We start from the raw sequence: 24506 nt of genomic DNA on the forward strand, positions 1-24506 counted from the left end.
CCAAAGTGCTGGGATTATAGGCGTGAGCTACCTCGACCAGGCTTTTACTATTATTTTTAATTAATATAATAATTGTACATATTTATGGGGTACAGTGTGATATTTTGATACATGTATACAATGTGTAATGATCATCCTAGGGTAATTAGCATATCCATCACCTCACTTATCATATCTTTGTATCGGGAACATCCAAAATCCACCCTTAGAGCTATTTAAAAAGATACAGTAAATTATTGTCAATTATATTCACCCTATAGTGCTATCATGATGGTTAATATTATACATCAACTTGACTAGGCTAAGGGATGCCCAGATAGTGTATGAAACGTGATTTCTGGTTCTGTCTGTGAGAGCGTTTCTGGAAGAGATTAGCACTGGAATCAGCAGACTGAGTAAGAAGATCCACCCTCACACAATGTGGGAGGGCCTCAGCAGAACAAAAAGGCAGAGGAAGGGTGAATTTGCTCCCTCCTATGGAACTGGGACATCTTCTACTGCCTTGGGACATCACAGCCCCTGATTCTCAGGCCATCAGACTCCAGACATCAAAACCCCTCCCATGTAAACTGTTCTCAGGCCTTGGGACTCAGATTGAACTGCACCACTGGCTTTCCTGGTTCTCTAGCTTGCAGACGGCATGCCGTGGGACTTCTCAGCCTCCATAATCACGTGAGCCAACTCCTATAATAAATCTTTTCTTATCTATCTATCTATATATATCCTACTGGTTATGTTTCTCTGGAGAACCCCGACTAATACATGTGGTAAGAGATGAAACTCAAAGAATGTTCATCGAACACTATTCATAAAAATAAAAAATGAAAACAATGTAAATTCCAAAATAAGGATGAATTACATAAATTCTTACAGTATTATTAAATGGGTTACCATGCAACTGTTAAAATAACAAGGTTGGGGAATAGCTAATTACATGGAAAATATTTATGGAATGTTATTAAGTTTAAAAGCAGATCAAAAAAGTCTATACATACAATCCATTTTGCAGTATATATAAATGTATCCTAAATGTATCTATAAGCATAGAAAAGAGACTGATAGGATAAACAGAAAACTGTGAGTGGTTATTTCTGAGTAGTAAAATTTCAAGTGACTCTTTTCCTCTTTTGGCTCATTTCTATTTTCTACATTTTTTGCAATTAGTTTGGATCACTTTCGTAACAAGAAAAATTATTTTAAGAGTTATATTTTTGACAATCTTCCAGTTCCCTTGAGCCATGTTATTTCATAAGTTTCATGCTATGACTTGGACACCTTTTTTTAAAGTTCTACTAAGATCTACCTTCTTAAGGGTTGGGAAGCATGTCTGATTATGCCCAGCCTTATCCACCCTAAGATAGCATGGGAGTTTCCCAAAAACTCTAGTCATTTGTATGTTACCAAGCAATTTCTCCTTATCAGTATAAGGACTAGAGTAGTAAGAGCATATTTGCATCTCTCTCTCTCCCCCAGCAGATGAATTTAACAGTAAGGAAAGTCAAGGTATTAGACACTCATCTTCTAGGTGCATGGAATTTCTAGTTGGCTGGACGTCCTTACCCTAGACTGACATAATGCTTCTGCAGGTTGTCCACTACACGAAAAACTATCCAAGGGGGCAGGTGGAGACCAAAATCCAGTCCTCGTTCTGCTCACTGGCATGTGCCTGGTGCAGGGCCGAATGCTTCAAGGTGGAGGAGGTTCTGTTCATGCATTCGTTTATTCATTCATTTTTAGAGACAGGGTCCCATTCTGTCACCCAGGCTGGAGTGCAGTGGCCAGAAATCAAAGCTCACTGTAGCCTCGAACTCCTGGGCTTCCATAATCCTCCTGCCTCAGCTTCCTGAGCAGCTAGGACTATAGATATGTGCCATCACGTCTGGCTAATTTTTTTTAAATTTTTTGTAGAGACAGAGTCTCACTGTGTTGCCCAGGCAGATCTCAACCTCCTGACCTCAAGCGATTCTCCTGCCTTAGCCTCCCAAAGCATGGGTTCTTTTTTACATTCACAGCACAGTGACCATCCTCTTGCCAACCTTGGAAACTGCAGGGCTGAGTCTCCCTAGAGGAGATTTTTTTTTCTTTTTTTCTTTTTTTTTTTTTTGCACGAAAGCACTATGGGTTAGCAGTGGCCTTTTTCCCATCACGGTCTGCATTTAGAAACCAATATCCATTTCCTTCATTGGCCCAGTTGGCTTCCATAAAGATATCAGATCTATTCCTTTCTTCTGTAATCTCCTATAATCCTATAATCTTCTCCTATAATCCAGTTTGCTTCTAGTCCAGGTTCCTCTAACCTCACTTGGAGCTACCCATAGCCTTTCGTTTTACCTCATGGGTGGCTGTGGTTTTCAACAGTGACTGCACACCACAATACTTGAGGAGATTCTGAAAATCCAGATGCCTCAGCTATGCCTCAAACCAATTAAATCAGAACCCCTGGCATGGGACCCAGCCATGGTTGGGAAACACTGGCTTACTAGAAACAACTTGAACTTTAAGCCAATAAATAAAATTAAATGTCTGGGTTTAAGGGTCAGTTCCTCTGCTTATCACCATACAATCTTGGAGACGTTACTTTACTTTTTTCCTAGCCCAGTTCTTCAAATGCAAAACCCCCAGATCAATGCGTTCCCATCAAAATTGTTCTGCAAAACTGGTCAACCCTATAATCGTTCTACAACTGACCCCAGAATAAGAAAAAGAGACACAGCCACTGGGACCAAGGAGGATGGGGAATGGGGAGGAGAATAGGCATGAGGTGCTAAAAATCTGGCTTGCCAGCTAGGAAACACTGGTTGAGAATAATGTAGGACCAGTTGCTCCATGAGGTTCCTTTCATCTCTAAAAATTGGTATTCTATCCATGTGTGCAAAGCTGGCAAGAAGATAAATTTCTATGCTTCCACATGGATCAGAGGAGATTGTGAGTTGCCTAGATATGATGCCTTTTTTTTTTTTTTTTTTTTTTTTTTTTTTTTTTCAGATTCAGGTCATCAGGCTCAGAGAATTTGCTGTTATTGCCAGTCCGTCCTCACAATGTAGTAAGTCCTCACTTTCCACATGCTAGGCTAAACCTTTTAGTTATTACCACTCATGTCCAACCGGTTGGCTCCACTGAGAGACCAACAGGTGAAGCAAAGTCAACCACCCAAAGAATTTTAAAACCTTCAAGGATTTTTATCAAATCTCTTGCCTTGTCCCATTTTTTCAGCTACTTCTGCAAAGACAAGCCAGAGAGAGGAAGCAAACCTTCTCACATATCTTCTAATAAGGGCAATAATCTTGTTGTGAAGCCTCCACCTGATAACCTGATTATCTCCCTAAGGCCCCATCTCCAAATACCATCACATTGAGGTTTAGGGGTGTATTAGTCCATTCTCACACACTATAAATAAATAACTGAGACTGAGTAATTTATAAGGAAAAGAGGTTTGATTGGCTCATGATTCTGCAGGTTGTACAGAAGATACAGTGGCTTCTGCTTCTGGGGAGGCCTCCAGCAACTTACAATTATGAGGGAAGGGGAAGCAGGCACATCTTACATGGCCAGAGCAAGAGGAAGGTGGGGAGGAGGAGCCACCCACTTTTAAACAACCAGATCTCATGAGAACAGCAGCAGGAGATGGTGCTAAACCATTCATGGAGGACCACCCCCATGATCCAATCACTTCCTACCAGGCCCCACCTTTAACATTGGGGATTACTTCTTGACATGAGATTTGATAGGGACACAGATCCAAACCCTATCAAAGGGTTTGATGTACAGATCTTAGGGGCACATAAACATTAAACCCATAGCAGACACCCCTTGACATCAATCACAGACCTCAGTCAGCCATTGACCCAGGGACGGTCATGGTATTATTAACCCACCTGAGGAGGCATGCTTCAGGGAGGACTTCCATGTTGACACCTCCAACGGAAGGGGCCAATGAAGGCAGCCTACTCGATCCCTCAGAGCTTGTGCCTCCTCCCACTTGTCAGGAGTATACTTTAAAACCCCATGCGGAGACACTGGCATTGCCTACCCAGAGATGAAGGCAGCATGGGCTCTTCCTCCAAGGAACCCCGAAAGCACGTAGTTTTCAGTCTTATTATAAAGGCGAGGGATTATAAAAGAAAAAAACAGTGATGCTTCTTAACTGTAGTAATAATAAATACGTTTGCATCAGTGTGGCATAAGGCCTCTCTGTAGATAACCTGGCTCTTGAGTGGAAAGCAGACGGCCCTGTGTGATTTTGTGGCTGAGTGCGGCTGAGCATCTCGGGGGCAGTGGCACACTGAGCGAGGCCGAGTGATAAGGAAGAAAAGGTGCTATGCAGACCTGTCCCTTCTTGTGACTCTCTGGCAATTCCCTACTGGGTTGGCCTTCTGGCCCCGTCAGCAGACCTCGGCCTGGCTTTCTCACACTCTTCACCTCTAGTCTCCAGTCATGCTGGCATTCCTGTGGATCTCCAAACATATTGGTGCCAGCCAGCCTCAGAAACTTGAGCCTTGCTTAGTCCATTTTCTGGAATGTTCTTTTCCAGATCCTTATGTGGCTGTCTTCTGCTTATTCTCTCAGGAGATCTTATCTTGAAGCATTAAGAGCAAGAACACTGGAGCCAGCCTGCCTGGGCTCAAACCCCAGCTCTGTGTGCCTGAGTGGATGGACAGTTATGAAAATCAAATAAGCCAGTGCATGTAAAATCTTAGAATAATGCCTATTGCATGGTAAGTGTAAATAAGAGTTAACTATTATCATTCATCAATAATAACATGTCACCTCCTGTTAGAATAGTTTCCCCACCCATCCCAGTCATTCTCTCCCCTTACTCACTAACTGAAATTATGTTCTGAATTTGTTCGCTTGTTCATTCTTTCCCTCCCCACCACTAGAATACTTGCACCATGAGGACTTTGACTGTCTTGTTCTCTGCTGTATGCCCAGTGCCTAGCATCAGGCATATAGTAGGTGCTCAAGAAATAGATATTAAATAAAGTAATTCAGTGAATGATATTCTGCATGCCAATTATTATTTTTTGGAGGTCCATCTAAGTTTATTCAGGCTGCTATAACAAAACACCTTAGAGTGGGTAAGTTATAAACAACAGAGATGTAATGCTCACAGTTCTAGAGGCTGGGAAATCCAAGATCAAGGCACCAGCAGATTCTGTGCCTGTTGAGTCCCTGTTCCTCATCTTGGTGCATTCTGTGTGTCCTCACATGGTAAAGGAGGAAGGCAGCTCTCTCAAGCTTCTTTTAAAAGGTTACTAATCCCACTGAAGAGGGTGGAACCCTCATGACTTAATCACCCCCAAAAGGCTCCAGCTCTTAATACTGTCATATTAGGTATTGGATTTCAACATACAAACTCTAGGGGACAGCAGCATAGCAGGGTCATAAGTGAGTAAAGTGCTTCCAAGCTCATATATGTCATAATATGGCTCTTTCATAAAAATTAACCCTTTTCTTGCTCCCTTGCTCAAACTCTCTAAAAATATTAACACTTCAATCTGCAAGATAGTGAACATGAAGACGTTAAATGGTAACTGTATAAGCTGCTGCAATTTAGACAAATTCTAGTAGTACATAGGATGTCTTCCAGTGTCTGGGTTTTTGCCCAATGGGCAATTTTCAGCTCTGACAAAATCAAAATGTGTTTTCCCTCCAGAGGTGATAGAGATCTGGCTTCTCACAGACAGCAGAACTTCAAAAGGAATTGAGTTATGGATAATGATGATGAAGAGCTCAGCAGAGCCATGAAGACCGGAAGATAAAACCGGTAACAGATAACCTGTGGAGCTTGTTGGCTGAGGCAGCACTTCTTTCCACTTTTTTGTTTGTTTGTTTGTTTCAAACAGAGTCTCACTCGGTCACCCAGGCTGAAGTGCAGTAGCGTGATCTCAGCTCACTGCAACCTCTGCCTCCCAGGCTCAAGCAATCTGCCTACCTCAGCATCCCAAGTAGCTGGGACTACAAGCATGTGCCACCATGCTGGACTAATTTTTTGTAGTTTTTGTAGAAACGGGGTTTCAACATGTTGCCCAGGCTGATTTCGACCTCCTGGTCTCAAATGATCCTCCCACCTCAGCCTCCCAAAGTGCTAGGATTACAGGCGTGAGCCATTGCACCTGGCCCGTCTTTTTATTTTTGATAGAAAACAAATTCCCAACCTTCCTTGCAGCTGTGTGTAGGTAAGTGACTAGTCCTGGCCCAAAGGATGTAAGTGGAAGTGGTGAGTGCAGCTTCCAGGAAGTTTCCTTGAAAGGATTTTTCTCCCTTATCTTTTTCCTGCTGTCTGTGAATGCAGAACTGATGACTGGAGTTCAAGCAAGCCTGCTGGCTCATGAGGTAAACAGGAGTCATGCTTGGTGGAACCACAAGGGAGAAAGCTCCTGACTTCTTGAATATTTTGTGGAGCAGAGCTGCTGTACTTTCCCTGGACGACACATCTTCTAATTTTTATTTGAGAGAAAAATAACCTTCTATCTTTTAAAGCCATTGTTAATTTTGGATTCTTCTATTACTCATATCCCAACCCAATCTGAGTAAACACAGCCTTACAATGAGTAAATGCTGAATACATTTTGATCTATTAAATTATTAAATAAAGACAGGGTTGTCTGCAAAAGAAGGTTGTGACACAGAAAATGTAGACCAGTGTGGGCCAAGATCAGTGTAGGAAGAAGAGGCTCAGGAGACTCTTAGGTGCACAATATAAGGGAAAAAAAATCCAGATCAAGCCTGAGCAGACAATTCTCTTAGCTAAATCCAATTAAACATTTTCTCTGTTCTTTAATGATAAGAAATTAAAAACTAACACCAGACTCTTGCTAGGTAGCACGGAAGTTCCTCTACTTAAGAACAGTTATGTTCTTTGTAAGTCTATTTGTTTGTGAGTCTGGAGGGAACAAGGAGTATTTCCACTTAATCTGAGTGTAAGTCCCTTGAAACTTTAAAACCAGCAGATGCTGCTTCTTTATGCTAATAAATATTTTATGGGTCTTCTTTTCTCCAAAGTAGATCAGATCAGTGTAGCGGGGAAATCTGTGGAGCCAGGTAATTCCCTCCTGCCCCCACCCTCAGCCCATGGAGGGCCTCAGCTGCCACGATAGCTGCAATGTGCCATGCCCCCACCCACTCTGGCCTGTGCAGATTTGAAAGACCTGAAACCAAGAACCATCCTGACACCACCACCTACCAAACCTCTGCTTCAGTTGCTTCTATCACTGCCCTTGTCTCGTTTCTTTCATGGCACTTACCAGCGTTTACACTTCTATATTTCTGTTTGTTTGTTGTCTGCTCCCTCCATCCCCCATTCTTCCATAGACTATCAGTTCCTTACAGGCAGGGACTAGCTATATCTGTTTTAGTCACTAATGTGTTCCCCGTAGCCAGCACAATGTTTGGCTCATAGTGGACACTCAGTAAAATAGGTGGCTGAGCATGGTGGCTCCTGCCTGTAATCCCAGCACTGAGAGGCCGAGGCAGGTGCATAACCTGAGGTCAGGAGTTCAAGACCAGCCTGGCCACATGGCAAAACCCCATCGCTACTAAAAAAATACAAAAATTAGCTGGGTGAGGTGGTGGGTACCTGTAATCCCAGCTACTTGGGAGGTTGAGGCAGGGAGAACTGCTTGAACCCAGGAGGTGGAGGCTGCAGTGAGCTGAGATTGCGCCACTGCACTCCAGCCTGAACGACAGAGTGAGACTCTGTCCCAAAAAATAAAATAAAATAGGTGCTGAGTGAACGAATGAATGAACAGTTCAGCAACAGCACCTTCAGCATATTCTGCCGTTTAGGTCACTGAGCTATGTCCCAGATCTCTCCTGAATGAGTATCTGGCTGATAGGTAGCCCATCTGGATGCGGATCTTGCAGTGCTCTGCTCTAGTTTTTGTGTTTGTCCTTTTTCCTCCTCTCTTGCTGAGTATCATGGACGGTGTATGCACAGCGCATTGCAAGTTAAGTGCTTTGTCCTTCTGAACCACACCTCCTTTTGGAAAACTCACAGCACATAGAGCAACAGGCATTATTTTTCTCAGCACTTTCAATCTTTCAATTCCATACAATTCTCTTCTTTCAATTCCATAACAATTGCACACCTTTTATTTCAGCAATTTAAAACGTTCACTGCGTTTGTATTCACTGGATACAATGAAATTAATGTTTGCAAAATACCTTGGAACTAAATAGAACCCCAGCAAGATTGCCACTAAGAGTTATGTGTCACTTAACCACGGGGATACATTCTGAGAAATGTGTCATTGGGTGATTTTGTCATTGTGTGAACATCACAGAGTGCACTTACACAAACCTAAATGGTCTAGCCTATTACACACCTAGCCTACTACACACACAAGAGGCTGTATGGTATAGCCTGTTGCTCCTAGGCAACAAGCCTGCACCGCATGCTCCTATGCCAAATACTGTAGGCAACTGTCACACAGTGGTAGGTATTTGTGTACCTAAACATAGAAAAGGTACAGTAAAAATACAGTCTTATATCTTATGGGACACACCTGTTTCCTGTTGTTACATGAAACTCTGTTATCTGGTGCATGACTGTACAACAAAGGACTCTATGGTCCAGACTAAAAGAACCTCACACTGCAACTACCACCACCTTTGGTGGGAGGCTGAGTTAATGTGATCTTGTTTTGTAGCTTTGTGTTGTTTCTATCTATAAAAGTTTGCAACTTGGAAATTCATAAGCAGAGAAGCTGTTTGTTTTAAAAATGTGTAGTTTGTTAGGTTTAATTATACTTATAAATTCAGAGTATTATCTCTTTTAATCTCTTTCCATTGTGTGTGTTCGAACAGTCTCATTTATTCATTTGTATTGAATTCTCAAGGTCTGGGGATAAAAAATTCTACTGAATATTGCTATAATTTGATTTGTCCCACACTGTGCTCTGTAGAGTGTTAATAGATGTTCCCACCTAAAAAAAAAATCTGTGATAAAATAAATTTAGGAACCCTGTCATACCTTGCTCTGATATACTTACAATGTGCATTATCATTTATAAGGTTCTGCTTAACCAATGTGTATTATCGCCTAAACTTTTTTTTTAACCTAGTGTTTCTTAAACTTGCCTGACCATAGAACTCTTTCTTAAATGTAACATTCAGTGTTCCAGTATTTTTAGGGAAATGCTGAACTATACATTTATCTGGCAGATTATAAATGTTTCTTGGAATCAAGATACTGGTGCAAAAATAAGCCAAAACCATGATTATAGCACTCCTGACAGAATATTGTCTTTGCAAAGCTCATTTCAGTCCTGGTGTGCAACACTTCAAACCAGCACAGTGACAGAAGACAACACCTGCTTGACATTCTGGAAAGGGTCCTCATTCTGTCTTGTTCAGGGATAACGAACACCTTTTCCCAGCAGGTGAAGCAGCATCTCAGCAATTGTTGCATTTTGTGGAAGGGAAACATGAGAAAATTCCAGCAGGTACAGGAAGGCTGGAAGCACTTGTTTTATTTTTTGAGTAGGTTCATCTTGGCTTGTGCACGTCTTAATCTGAGTAAGACAAATATTATTCACAGTGTAGGCGTGGCAGCTCAGGAGGACAATAATGGAAGCTCCAGTTTCACATTTTTTTTTATTTGGTGTACATTCTATGCATCAAAACTATATAGGATGTTTCAATGTTCTTTTGAGAGTTCAAGCTGAGAAAACTCCCGTGGTTGGTGCATCCCTGAAATACTAATCACCACACCAAAATTTTACAGAAGAGAGAGGAAAAGAAAGAGGGTGGTGGTGGGAGGGTAGGGGTGAGTGGTTATAAAGTTACAAAGCATTAGAATATTTCCTGAGTGTCAGGAATTTAAAATTAAAGGACTCAAACTTAGAAAACCTCTGTGGAAATGATGATATGAATGGACATTTGCATGCTCAACCTTGATGACTGGCTATCAATAACCCTGAGCAACATCAGGGTTTGAAACTATTAGCCTCTAACTACCCTATAAGAACTGCAGAAAGTCAACTGACTGTGACTAGTGGCTGTGAATGTTCTTTAACTTCATCATTTCTAATGCTTTTACAGTGTCCCCTAACTCCACATAAGCGATAGGTGTCAGTCCTGTTAATATCACTAGAGCCAGGTGGCCACAGATGACCAGCTGAATGCTTTGATTGACTTGATGCTCAGTGTCTTCAACTTTCAAAATGCATTTTTAAGTTGAATTTCTGGCTTTCAAGTGAATTGATACAACTGATGAATCCAGAGGAATGACCCTTGTATGCACTTAATTCTATGAGGAATATTTTTGGGAATCGTTTGATAATTTCCTATCCTTGGGTTGTTTCACTGGCATAAATATCTTAGACATGGATTCCCAGGAGGAATGATCCAATTCATTCTCAAGAGGCTTTTGTGCTGCTATTATAATTATAATCATCATCAGCATCATTACCAATCCTTACATTTGTAAAGCTGTATTCATCAGGACTGTTGGTGGTGACTGATAGCACCACAATTCAATGAGGTTTTATTGGCTCATGAAGTTTAAAAAATCCAGAGGTAGAGGTGGATTCAGCCATTCCATCTAAATAACACCTCACCTCGGTCTTCCCCTATTCTGCTGTAAATTTTCTTCTTAGAATCTATTACTACCTGGCATTATATCATGCATTTATTTAGTGTTTGTGTATTGCCAGGGCTGCCCACTGGAATGCAAGCACCATGAGAGTAGGGTCTTTCTTTCATTTATCACCAAATGCCAAGAATCCAGAAATTGTTATGGACTATAAGAGGAACTTAATAACTAGTTGTGGAATGAAAAAATGAATTATTTGATGCAGATGCTGAAACGACATCATCAGAAATTTGTCTTTAAACATCTCTCTGCTTTTCTCTGTGTTGTTCTCATTCTCAAGACTGCCTATTCCCTGGAGACAAGATGGCTTCCAGGAGAAAGAGCACTTTTTTTCCCCCTCAATATAACCAGCAAAAGGCTTATTGGCCAGCTTAGGTCATATGACCATCCTTCAGCCAATGAGCATGGCCAAGGGGAAGGTGTTGGCCCCAGTGAACCAAAAAGTTTAAGGGCGGGAGGATGCAGGCCGAACAGACCTAACAAGAAACTGTGGCTAAAATAATAGAGTTTATTAATTGCTTTCAGTTGCATTATCTCAGCCGATCCTCACAAAAGCTTGTGAGGAGAGTAGAACAGATATTATTATCCCCATTTTAGAAATAACGAAATGGAGGCTCAAAAAAGGTATGCCTCTTCAAGCAATCAGGAAGTGGTGGAGCTCTGTCTCAATCTTAAAACCAGTAAGAGAACCCTTACCAGGAACCAGACCTGCTGAGCCTTGATCTTGGACTTCCCAGCCTCCAGAACTGTGAGAAGTAAATTTCTGTTGTTGAAGCCACCCATTCTATGCTAATTTGTTGTAGCAATCCAAGCTGATTAAGATAGGGTCTTTAGAGGGTCTGCCCGAAGAATTGAAGCCAGTAACACAGCCTGTCTGTCCATCTTGTATTGAAATGGACATCTTGTATTGAGAAATCACCCATCTGTTTATACCATGAGAGAAACATCACCTTCTGTCTCACTCTGCCACTTGAAAACCTTCAAAGGCTCCCATTCCTATAAAACAGAGCAAACTCCCATTGAGTGAATGGCTTTTTAGTGACCTGATTTCGGCCCCACTATTCAGCTTCATCTCTCACCATTTTCCATTATGCTTTGATGGGGACAAATAAACCATACCCAATCCACAGCAAGTATTCACCTCAGTAGCTCTAAATGCCATGCATATACTACTATTTCTTGATATTTTGTGTGTAGGAAATATGTATTAACTTCCCACTCAGGAAGATGAAGTGTTGACTCTTTCATCTCCCTTTCCCTGCCTCCCACCAACACACACGTACTTCCCACCTGTGTTAGGTTTGTAGGGATGCCATAACAAAGTGCCACAAACTAGGTGACAAACAACAGAAATGTATTGTCTCACAGTCCTGGGGACTAGAACTCTGAAGTCAGGGTGTCAGCAAGGTTGGTTCCTTCTGAAACTGTGAGGAAAAAACTGTCCTATGCCTCTCTCTTAGTTTCTGGTGGTTTGCTAGGAATCTTTGGCATTTCTTGGCCTATGGCAGCATAACTCCAATCTTCACAACAATGTTTTCACTGTGTCTCTGTCTCTATATATTCAGATTTCTCCTTTTTATAATGCACCAGTCATATTGAACTGGAGCTTACTCCAAAGGCCGCATCTTAACTTGATCATCTGCAGAGAACTTATTTTCAAATGAAGTCACATTCACAGGTATTGAGGATTAGGACGTCAACATATTTTATGGGAACACAATTCAACCTGTAATAACATCCTTTCAAAACTGTATAATTATGTCATCAATTTGGTTAGATTAATGTTCAGTATTTACACTGTAATAAACCCACAGTTATGCAGAGCTCAGCTATGTAGTAAACTATGGTTTTATTTTTTTCCTGAATAATTTTTTGTTGTATCTGAAGTTAATAATAGTTTTTCAATCACTTTAATTTTTATGTTCTTACCATCAGTTTAAACAAATCCTTCTGCCAGTTGTCTAAATCTTTTCTCATCCCATTCACTCATCTCAACTGTCTGTCAATTTCATCTTGATCCCCAGGGCTTCTAACCTGCTCTAATCTGTTCAGGTTGATCTTTGGAGGATGTACCTTCCCTGCTATGCTGAAGATTCTCTATTTCCTGTTTCTTGAATCAGATGTCTTCCTTTCATTAGTTACTACTTTGATTTATGGAACATAGTCTCCAGTAGCTTCTTGAGAAAGAATGTGTAGAAAGTAAATATTTGAGACGCTTTTTTTCAACAATATTCATATCCTGTTGTCATGCTCAATAGATAGTTTGGCTGGGTATAGAACTGTAGGTAGGAAATCCTTTCTCTTTGGAATTTTGATAGCACCACTCCATTGTCTTCTAGCTTCCAACACTGCTGTTGAGAAATCTGAACCATTCAACTGCCTGATCATTTATATTAACCTATTTATTTCCCTCTGAAAGCTTACAAGAGCTTCATTTGTCCCAATTATAGTAGGAAGAATTCTAAGATGACCCTCAATGGGTTACACTCATGTGTAATCTGAGGACAGAAACTGAGACTTACTTCTAGTGAATAGAATATACCAAAGGTGATGGGAAAGTCATTCCCTTGGTTAGGTTACATTCTATAACAAAGGTGATGGGATAGTCACTCATGTGATTATTTTATGTTATATAAAACTCCATCTTAGACTGGAGTGAGAGATTTTTCTGCAGACTTTGAAAAACTAAAACTAAGTTATCATGTTGCGAGATGGTCTATGAAAGCACAATATGGCAAGGGTACCTCTGAGAGATGAGAGTAGCTCCCAGCTGACAGCCAGCAAGGAAGCAAGGACCTCAGTCCTACAACCACAAGGAACTGAGTTTTGCCAACATTATCACATGAGATTGGAAGAGAACCCCAAACTCCAGATAGGAACAAAGCCTGGATTGCAGCCTCATGAGACCCTGAGTAGAGGACTCAGTTACACTATGTCTAAACCCCTGACCCATAGAAACCATGCTATGCTAAATGTATGTCCATTTGAACTACTTAAGTTTATGGTAATTTATTACACAGCAGTATAAAACTCATACTAATACAACAGCATTCTAAAATTTCAGAATATAAATGTTAGTGTTGGGTTTTCATGTTCTTAAGTTATAAACTTTTTAAAATTACTTCGTTGATGATTTTCTCTTGTTCACTGTCTTTGTTTTATCCTTCTGACACTCTTATTATTCAGATGTTGAGCATTTTAGATTGAAACTCTATATTTTTTTTCCTCTTCTACTTTGTGTTTTTCTTGTCTTCCTGGTATACTATCTGAGAAATTTGCCTAGCTTTATCTTCTAACCCTTCTATTGAGTTTTCCACTTCCACTACCATGATTTTAGTTTCTAAAAGTTTATTTTGTTCTCTAAATGTCCATTCTCTTTGGATAGCATCATGTTCTTGTTTCACAGATGCTATCCTACCTATTTCCTTTTTCCTGTCCTATTCTTGTTTCCTACCTGTTGCCTTTTTCTGTCTGCCTACTAGCTTGTTTGGTATTCAATCATTCACATTAGAGTCATTCTCACATTCTCAAATCTCTGATAATTATATTTAAGAGTGGGGACCTAAAGCATTGATTGAAAGTCCTGAGCTCATTGTGGCACTTGTTGATTGTGAACTACACTGTTAAGTGATACAGCTGGGCCATTTGCTAGGGAACCTCAATGTAAGTCTCTTCAGTCTTTCTTATTGAGCTACTCAGATTCCCCAGAAACATTTATTCTAATCTCCTGCTAGGAAGTTAAAGGGCTGTGTTCTGGGATTCAAAGAGGGCACAGAGTAGAGGAGAAAGCCTCGGAGTCTAAGCATCCAGTTTGCATTCAGTCATTTTGTCTCCCTATTTTCAGTATGGTACCCATAACATTGACTATGCCTGGTGTCCTCTATCTATGGACACTCTCTTTTACCTCTCCAGAAAATAAACCCCTTGTATCTTGGCCAGGATGTTAGGGCTTCCTAACCCATCAGCAAGGAATGAGGGAGAAAATGTAGGAGTCTAACTGCTTCTTTTTTATTGTGGTAAAACATATATGACATAACATTTGCTACTTTAATCGTAGTGTGAATTATATTCACAGTGTTGTGCAACCATCACTACTATTTACTTCCAGAATTTTTCATCACCCCAAACACAAACTCTGTACTCATTAGGCAATAATTCCCCATTCCTGTTTCTGAAACAGATTTCCACCAATCCTCTTTATTCCCACCTCTATCTCCAGTTCTGAGAGTTTCTGATGCCAGTAATCCCTGAGCCTTTGAGGATTCTGCAGTGTAAATTTGGTTGGTTGGTGGGTTTTTTCACTGCTGCTTTCAGAGTCTTCTTTCTCAGGTCAGCTACATATGTTATCACTTGTCCATCTCCTTTCTAGCTTCCAAAATGATACCATTGTCTCCACTCTCATTTTACCCAAACTTGTGGATTTGTAGCAAAAAAAGGAACCCTTTACTGGTGGTTTTAGTGGAGTTACAGGACAGTATGAATTTAGATGAGTGTACTCAGCTCTGCTCTCTGATCAACTTGCCAAACACTCTAACTTCCAACTGCTTTTTAGCTGATTTTCTTAAGTAGATGATCATATTATGTACAGATAGAGTTTTCAGACTTCTTGCAACATGTTCTGTTAAGTTGATGCAGCTCTTCCCTTCAGTTACAAACACATAGAAACACTTGATATTGTTTTTAAAATATGGCTGCACTTGAAAGAAAGAAAGGGAAATGTCATAGTGCCAGAAATCAAGAGATAAGACAGAGCCAAAAAGGTACAGGAAGGTCATGACCATCTGCAGAGGGTTTAGGGTCTATAAACCAGGGTTCTAAAACCCACACAAGTACAGGAGATGCTTCCTTGGCCCTTGAGATGGGGAAGCTGAAACCGAGCTGTAATAGGTGATTTTTGTGTCCAACATCATTTGCCCCTGGTCAGTCTCTGATTTCCCTAGAGATGAGTGTTTCACTTCTAGCATGCACCTGAGAAGAGGGACCAGAACACATGAGTCTAGTAGACCAAGGTAAGACGTTTGAAAGAATTTCACATGACAGAGTGATGTTATCTGATTCACATTTCCAAGAGATTCCTCTGGCTGCTGTGTGGAGAATAGATATTAGTGGAAGGAGGGAAATAAGTTGGGAGAGCATGCCAATAGTCAAGAGGAGCATTCTGGTTATCTATCACCATGTAACAAACTACCCCAAATTCAGAAGCATTAAAACTATAACTTTCTGGCATATAGAGAAAACTGTAAAAATTTTTAAATAAAAAAACAAAATATTATTTTATTATGGTCATTATCTATGAGTCAAGAATTCAGAAAGAGTGCAATCGACATGGTTTATCTATGCTCATGATGTCTGAAGCCTCAGGTTGGAAGTCTCAAATGGCTGAGATGATTTAAATGGGTGGGAACTGCACTAGCGGAGTTAAGCTGGAACTGTTAATTGGAATACCAACATGCCTGCCTCTTGGGCTTCCTCATAGCATGGCAGCTTAGTTACAATAGGGAGCATCCAAAGTGAGTGTTCCAAGAGAAGCAAAAAGAAGCTTTTTATGATCTATTCAGAGAAGTCACATAGCTTCACTTCCACCATATGCAATTAGTTAAAGTAGTCTTGGGCCCACCCAGGTTCAAGGGGGAAGGAACATCAACTCCACCTCTTGATGCCAAAAGTGTTAAAGAATTTGGGGACCATGTTTTAAAACTGCTAAGGGAGAGATTATTATGGCTACAAACAGAGTGATTAGCAGTGAAGATGGAGAGTGAAGACAGATTCAAGAGGCATTTAGGAGTCAAGTCAAGAAACTTGCTGTTGAATTATATGCTGGAGAAAGGGGATGATGGTGATGTAAAAAGAAGAATCATGAATGACTTCTAGGTTTTGGGGCCAAGCACTTGGGTAGATGGTAGTGCCATTTCTGGGCTGGGGAAGGAGTTACCCCAGGAGGTCCTATTTCATTCTAAATGAAGGGTTTAAAAATTATGTTTTTGCGGGGGGAGGAGCCAAGATGGCCGAATAGGAACAGCTCCAGTCTACAGCTCCCAGCGTGAGCGACACAGAAGACGGGTGATTTCTGCATTTCCAACTGAGGTACCGGGTTCATCTCACTGGGGAGTGCCAGACAGTAGGTGCAGAACAGTGGGTGCAGCGCACCGTGCACAAGCCGAAGCAGGGCGAGGCATCGCCTCACCCGGGAAGCACAAGGGGTCAGGGAATTCCCTTTCCTAGTCAAAGAAAGCGGTGACAGACGGCATCTGGAAAATTGGGTCACTCCCACCCTAATACTGAGCTTTTCCAACGGGCTTAAAAAATGGCACACCAGGAGATTATATCCTGCACATGGCTCAGAGGGTCCTACGCCCAGAGTCTCGCTCATTGCTAGCACAGCAGTCCGAGATCAAACTGCAAGGCGGCAGTGAGGCTAGGGGAGGGGTGCCCGCCATTGCCGAGCTAGTTGTTTGATTAGGTAAAAAAAGCGGCCAGGAAGCTCAAACTGGGTGGAGCCCACCACACCTCAAGGAGGCCTGCCTGCCTCTGTAGGCTCCACCTCTGGGGGCAGGGCACAGACAAACAAAAAGACAGCAGTAACCTCTGCAAACTTAAATGTCCCTCTCTGACAGCTTTGAAGAGAGTAGTGGTTCTCCCAGCACACAGCTTGAGATCTGAGAATGGGCAGACTGCCTCCTCAAGTGGGTCCCTGACTCCTGAGTAGCCTAACTGAGAGGCACCCCCCAGTAGGGGCAGACTGACACCTCACACAGCCAGGTACTCCTCTGAGACAAAACTTCCAGAGGAATGATCAGACAGCAGCATCTGCAGTTCACCAATATCCGCTGTTCTGCAGCCACCACTGCTGATACCCAGGCAAACAGGGTCTGGAGTGGACCTCTAGCAAACTCCAACAGACCTGCAGCTGAGGGTCCTGTCTGTTAGAAGGAAAGCTAACAAACAGAAAGGACATCCACACCAAAAACCCATCTGTACGTCACCATCATCAAAGACCAAAGGTAAATAAAACCACAAAGATGGGAAAAAAACAGAGCAGAAAAACTGGAAACTCTAAAAATCAGAGTGCCTCTCCTCCTCCAAAGGAACGCAGCTCCTCACCAGCAACGGAACAAAGCTGGACGGAGAATGACTTTGACGAGTTGAGAGAAGAAGGCTTCAGATAATCAAACTACTCCGAGCTACAGAAGGAAATTTGAACCAATGGCAAAGAAGTTAAAAGCTTTGAAAAAAAATTAGACGAATGGATAACTATAATAACCAAGGCAGAGAAGTCCTTAAAGGACCTGATGGAGCTGAAAACCAAGGCACGAGAGCTATGTGACAAACGCACAAGCCTCAGTAGCCAATGCGATCAACTGGAAGAAAGGGTATCAGTGATGGAAGACAAAATGAATGAAATGAAGCAAGAAGAGAAGTTTAGAGAAAAAAGAATAAAAAGAAATGAACAAAGCCTCCAAGAAATATGGGACTATGTGAAAAGACAAATCTACGTCTGATTGATGTACCTGAAGGTGACGGGGAGAATGGAACCAAGCTGGAAAACACTCTGCAGGATATTATCCAGGAGAACTTCTCCAATCTAGCAAGGAAGGCCAACATTCAAATTCAGGAAATACAGAGAATGCCACAAAGATACTCCTCGAGAAGAGCAACTCCAAGACACATAATTGTCAGATTCACCAAAGTTGAAGTGACGGAAAAAATGTCAAGGGCAGCCAGAGAGAAAGGTCGGGTTACCCTCAAAGGGAAGCCCATCAGACTAACAGCTGATCTCTCTGCAGAAACTCTACAAGCCAGAAAAGAGTGGGGACCAATATTCAACATTCTTAAAGAAAACAATTTTCAACCCAGAATCTCATATCCAGCCAAACTAAGCTTCATAAGTGAAGGAGAAATAAAATACTTTACAGACAAGCAAATGCTGAGAGATTTTGTCACCACCGGGCCTGCCCTAAAAGAGCTCCTGAAGGAAGCACTAAACATGGAAAGGAACAACCGGTACCAGCCACTGCAAAAACATGCCAAAATGTAAAGACCATCAAGGCTAGGAAGAAACTGCATGAACTAATGAGCAAAATAACCAGCTAACATCATAATGACAGGATCAAATTCACACATAACAATATTAACTTTAAATGTAAATGGGCTAAATGCTCCAATTAAAAGACACAGACTGGCAAATTGCATAAAGAGTCAAGACCCATCAGTGTGCTATATTCAGGAAACCCATCTCACATGCAGAGACACACATAGGCTCAAAATACAGGGATGGAAGAAGATCTACTAAGCAAATGGAAAACCAAAAAAGGCAGAGGTTGCAATCCTAGTCTCTGATAAAACAGACTTTAAACCAACAAAGATCAAAGGAGACAAAGAAGGCCATTACATAATGGTAAAGGGATCAATTCAACAAGAAGAGCTGACTATCCTAAATATATATGCACCCAATACAGGAGCACCCAGATTCATAAAGCAAGTCCTTAGAGACCTACAGAGAGACTTAGACTCCCACACAATAATAATGGGAGACTTTAACACCCCACTGTCAACATTAGACAGATCAACAAGACAGAAAGTTAACAAGGACACCCAGGAATTGAACTCAGCTCTGCACCAAGCGGACCTAATAGACATCTACAGAACTCTCCACCCCAAATCAACAGAATATACATTCTTTTCAGCACCACACCACACCTACTCCAAAACTGACCACATAATTGGAAGTAAAGCACTCCACAGCAAATGTAAAAGAACAGAAATTATAACCAACTGCCTCTCAGACCACAGTGCAATCAAACTAGAACTCAAGATTAAGAAGCTCACTCAAAACCGCTCAACTACATGGAAACTGAACAACCTGCTCCTGAATGACTACTGGGTACATAACGAAATGAAGGCAGAAATAAAGATGTTCTTTGAAACCAACGAGAACAAAGACACAACATACCAGAATCTCTGGGACACATTCAAAGCAGTGTGTAGAGGGAAATTTATAGCACTAAATACCCACAAGAGAAAGCAGGAAATATCTAAAATTGACACCCTAACATCACAATTAAAAGAGCTAGAAAAGCAAGAGCAAACACATTCAAAAGCTAGCAGAAGGCAAGAAATAACTAAGATCAGAGCAGAACTGAAGGCAATAGAGACACAAAAACCCTTCAAAAAATTAATGAATCCAGGAGCTGGTTTTTTGAAAAGATCAACAAAATTGATAGACTGCTAGCAAGACTAATAAAGAAGAAAAGAGAGAAGAATCAAATAGACACACTAAAAAATGATAAAGGGGATATCACCACCAATCCCATAGAAATACAAACTACCACCAGAGAATACTATAAACACCTCTATGCAAATAAACTAGAAAATCTAGAAAAAATTGATAAATTCCTCAACACATACATCCTCCCAAGACTAAACCAGGAAGAAGTTGAATCTCTGAATAGACCAATAACAGGCTCTGAAATTGAGGCCATAATCAATAGCTTACCAACCAAAAAAAGTCCAGGACCAGATGGATTCACAGCCGAATTCTACCAGAGGTACAAAGAGGAACTGGTACCATTCCTTCTGAAACTATTCCAATCAATAGAAAAAGAGGTAATCCTCCCTAACTCATTTTATGAGGCCAGCATCATCCTGATACCAAAGCTAGGCAGAGACACAACCAAGAAAGAGAATTTTAGACCAATATCCTTGATGAACATCGATGCAAAAATCCTCAATAAAATACTGGCAAACCGAATCCAGCAGCACATCAAAAAGCTTATCCACCATGATCAAGTGGGCTTCATCCCTGGGATCCAAGGCTGGTTCAACATACGCAAATCAATAAATGTAATCCAGCATATAAACAGAACCGAAGACAAAAACCACATGATTATCTCAATAGATATAGAAAAGGCCTTTGAAAAATTCAACAACCCTTCATGCTAAAAACTCTCAATAAATTAGGTATTGATGGGACGTATCTCAAAATAATAAGAGCTATCTATGACAAACCCACAGCCAATATCATACTGAATGGGCAAAAACTGGAAGCATTCCCTTTGAAAACGGGCACAAGACAGGGATGCCCTCTCTCACCACTCCTATTCAACATAGTGTTGGAAGTTCTGGCCAGGGCAATCAGGCAGGAGAAGGAAATAAAGGGTATTCAATTAGGAAAAGAGGAAGTCAAATTGTCCCTGTTTGCAGATGACATGATTGTATATCTAGAAAACCCCATTGTCTCAGCCCAAAATCTTCTCAAGCTGATAAGCAACTTCAGCAAGGTCTCAGGATACAAAATCAAAGTACAAAAATCACAAGCATTCTTATACACCAACAACAGACAAACAGCCAAATCATAAGTGAACTCCCATTCACAATTGCTTCAAAGAGAATAAAATACCTAGAAATCCAACTTACAAGGGATGTGAAGGACCTCTTCAAGGAGAACTACAAACCACTGCTCAATGAAATAAAAGAGGATACAAACAAATGGAAGAACATTCCATGCTCATGGGTAGGAAGAATCAATATCATGAAAATGGCCATACTGCCCAAGGTAATTTATAGATTCAATGCCATCCCCATCAAGCTACCAATGACTTTCTTCACAGAATTGGAAAAAACTACTTTAAAGTTCATATGGAACTTGGCATCGCCAAGTCAATCCTAAGCCAAAAGAACAAAGCTGGAGACATCACACTACCTGACTTCAAACTATACTACAAGGCTACAGTAACCAAAACAGCATGGTACTGACACCAAAACAGAGATATAGAAAAATGGAACAGAATAGAGCCCTCAGAAATAATGCCACGTATCTACAACCATCTGATCTTTGACAAACCTGAGAAAAACAAGCAATGGGGAAAGGATTCCCTATTTAATAAATGGTGCTGGGAAAACTGGCTAGCCATCTGTAGAAAGCTGAAACTGGATCCCTTCCTTACACCTTATACAAAAATTAATTCAAGATGGATTAAAGACTTAAACGTTAGACCTAAAACCATAAAAACCCTAGAAGAAAACCTAGGCAATACCATTCAGGACATAGGCATGGGCAAGGACTTCATGTCTAAAACACCAAAAGCAATGGCAACAAAAGCCAAAATTGACAAATGGGATCTAATTAAACTAAAGAGCTTCTGCACAGCAAAAGAAACTACCATCAGAGTGAACAGGCAACCTACAGAATGGAAGAAAATTTTTGCAACCTACTCATCTGACAAAGGGCTAATATCCAGAATCTACAATGAACTCAAACAAATTTACAAGAAAAAAACAAACAACCCCGTCAAAAAGTGGGCAAAGGATATGAACAGACACTTCTCAAAATAAGACATTTATGCAGCAAAAAAACACATAAAAAATGCTCCTCATCACTGGTCATCAGAGAAATGCAAATAAAAACCACAATGAGATACCATCTCACACCAGTTAGAATGGCGATCATTAAAAAGTCAGGAAACAACAGGTGCTGGAGAGGATGTGGAGAAATAGGAACACTTTTACACTGTTGGTGGGACTGTAAACTAGTTCAACCATTGTGGAAGTCAGTGTGGCGATTCCTCAGGGATCTAGAACTAGAAACATTTGACCCAGCCATCCCATTACTGGGTATATACCGGAAGGATTATAAATCATGCTGCTATAATGACACACACACACATATGTTTATTGCGGCACTATTCACAATAGCAAAGACTTGGAACTAACCTAAATGTCCAACAAGGATAGACTGGATTAAGAAAATGTGGCACATATACACCATGGAATACTGTGCAGCCATAAAAAATTATGAGTTCATGTCTTTTGTAGGGACATGGATGAAACTGGAAACCATCATTCTCAGCAAACTATCGCAAGGACAAAAAACCAAACACCGCATGTTCTCACTCATAGGTGGGAATTGAACAATGAGAACACACGGACACAGGAAGGGGAACATCACACACCGGGGACTGTTGTGGGGTGGGGGCAGGGGGGAGGGATAGCATTAGGAGATATACCTAATGCTAAATGACGAGTTAACGGGTGCAGCACACCAGCATGTCACATGTATACATATGTAACAAACCTGCACGTTGTGCACATGTACCCTAAAACTTAAAGTATAATAATAATAAAACTAAAAAAAAAAATTATGTTTTTGACCACGTAATATATACAGACTCTGTGATTGAAATGTATGATTTTTTATTTAATCTTTAAAACAATCCTGTGAAGCTGGTATTTATTTTTATGCTTATTTTTATTTTTTGTTTGTTTATTTTTTATTTCATTTTTTAGATGTAAAAACCAAGATCCCAAAAGTAAGCTATTTGCCTAAGGTTACACAACAAGTAAGTGGCAGAGCAAAAATTCAAACTTCAAAGACTCTGTGTTTTCTATTTAACTATTCTGTTTCCCAAAGAGTCACTGAAACTCATGAAGATTAAGTAATTTAGCTAAGATTGCACAGGAAATAACAGAACTAGATTTTAAAATAAGTTCTGGCCCTAAAGCCACTGTTTTATCCAGTACAGGTGATGATTGACAGCAACAGGTGTATTGCCGGCAGGTGTATCCCTGGGGCCCCCACAATTGGAAGAATATGAGCTCTCTGAGTGAGGATGCCAAGATACTCATGGCCTTTGAGGCTCTCTGGATGTCCCATGAACATGACGGTGCTCTTTGAATGGTAGATAGTTCTCAATTTAAAAAAAAAGAAAAGAAAAGAAATGCCCTGCCATTAGATGACTTGACCTAGAAGTTACTCCCTAAAAATTATCCACAGGTCATCCCATCTACCTGGGGCATGGTGTTATGGATGTTCCTTGAACACGTAGAGCTGTCTGAGTGTTTGCCCAAAGAGAACATTGGCATCACTCACCTTTGAAATACAAAAGAGAAGCCGTTTGCTTTACTTAAATCCTGAATCTTTGATCATCCACATCAGGTGTCTTTGATGTTGGCTGCAATCTGTAATTGCTACAAATTAACACAAAGGTAGGAAACAGGTTAAAGAGGCACGGAGAAATGAAATAAAAGTCTTACATCTGAACACAGGCACCTTTTTTTCTACCCCCTTTCTCCTCCAAAATGAGGCTTGTTCACTGTCTCTTCCTTCTGCTAGAAGTTTCTTGAACCTATGACTTATCTGCCACATACATTTAATCATTTTAGGGTCCATTTAGACTCTTAAAAGGAGTCTCGAGTATAGTAGGCCTTCAATAAGTATTTGTTGAATAGATGAGTTAGAGACCTAATTATTAAGTTGATAACCATTGGTTAAATTTCAGGTGCCAAGTCAGTTACAGACTTCCCATCCTGACTGCTCACCATGTGGACCAGGGTAACTTCAGCCGGAGAGCAGCATAGGGTGTCCTGATGTCTGGCATGCTGCCTGGTGGGCAATCCTCCATCCATTACCCTGTTGGTTCTTCCATTTGGCCATCGGTCCCCAGTCTAGGGAGTGCCAGAGGCCAAGGCAACCAGGAGCAGCTGGGGCACCTCCCAGGCCAGCCTGTCCCCTTCCTGCCCACACCAACCAGGCAGCCTCTTCCTCCTGCCCACTGCTTGCACCAGCTTCTCTACCCAGAGAGATGACTGCGTGGGCCCTTGGATTCCACAAGCAACTCAACTCAGGACATTTGATAACCTTAGCCACAGAAGTGAAAAGAGAAAGCAAGGAGAGAGGTGGCGAAGGAGAAAGAGAAAGAGGAAATGAAAAACAGACATCAGTTTATAAAGAAAAAGAGTTTCTGAAGAAGAAAAATCAAGGACAAAGTGAGAAACTCTTCCTTCTTACAATGGATACAATGGATTTTTCCCAAACATGTTAAATTCTTCTCCAGAAACTTGACTGAACTGTGACAAAGAGGTTTTCATGAACTTTGGAGGCAGACAGACCTGGTTTGGACTCCTGGTTCCAGCC

General features: G+C 41.0%; 1 long non-coding RNA gene across 1 annotated transcript; it reads left to right on the forward strand.

Moving 5' to 3' along the window:
• Positions 1-4458: 4458 nt before the first annotated feature.
• Positions 4459-24173, forward strand: LOC105370959 (uncharacterized). The gene is made up of 3 exons (XR_932590.1): positions 4459-4715; positions 5657-5767; positions 23872-24173. It is a non-coding gene; the product is annotated as an uncharacterized LOC105370959 (long non-coding RNA).
• Positions 24174-24506: the final 333 nt, after the last annotated feature.

This window comes from Homo sapiens, chromosome 15, assembly GCF_000001405.40.
Source record: "Homo sapiens chromosome 15, GRCh38.p14 Primary Assembly".
Taxonomy (NCBI): Eukaryota; Metazoa; Chordata; class Mammalia; order Primates; family Hominidae; genus Homo; species Homo sapiens.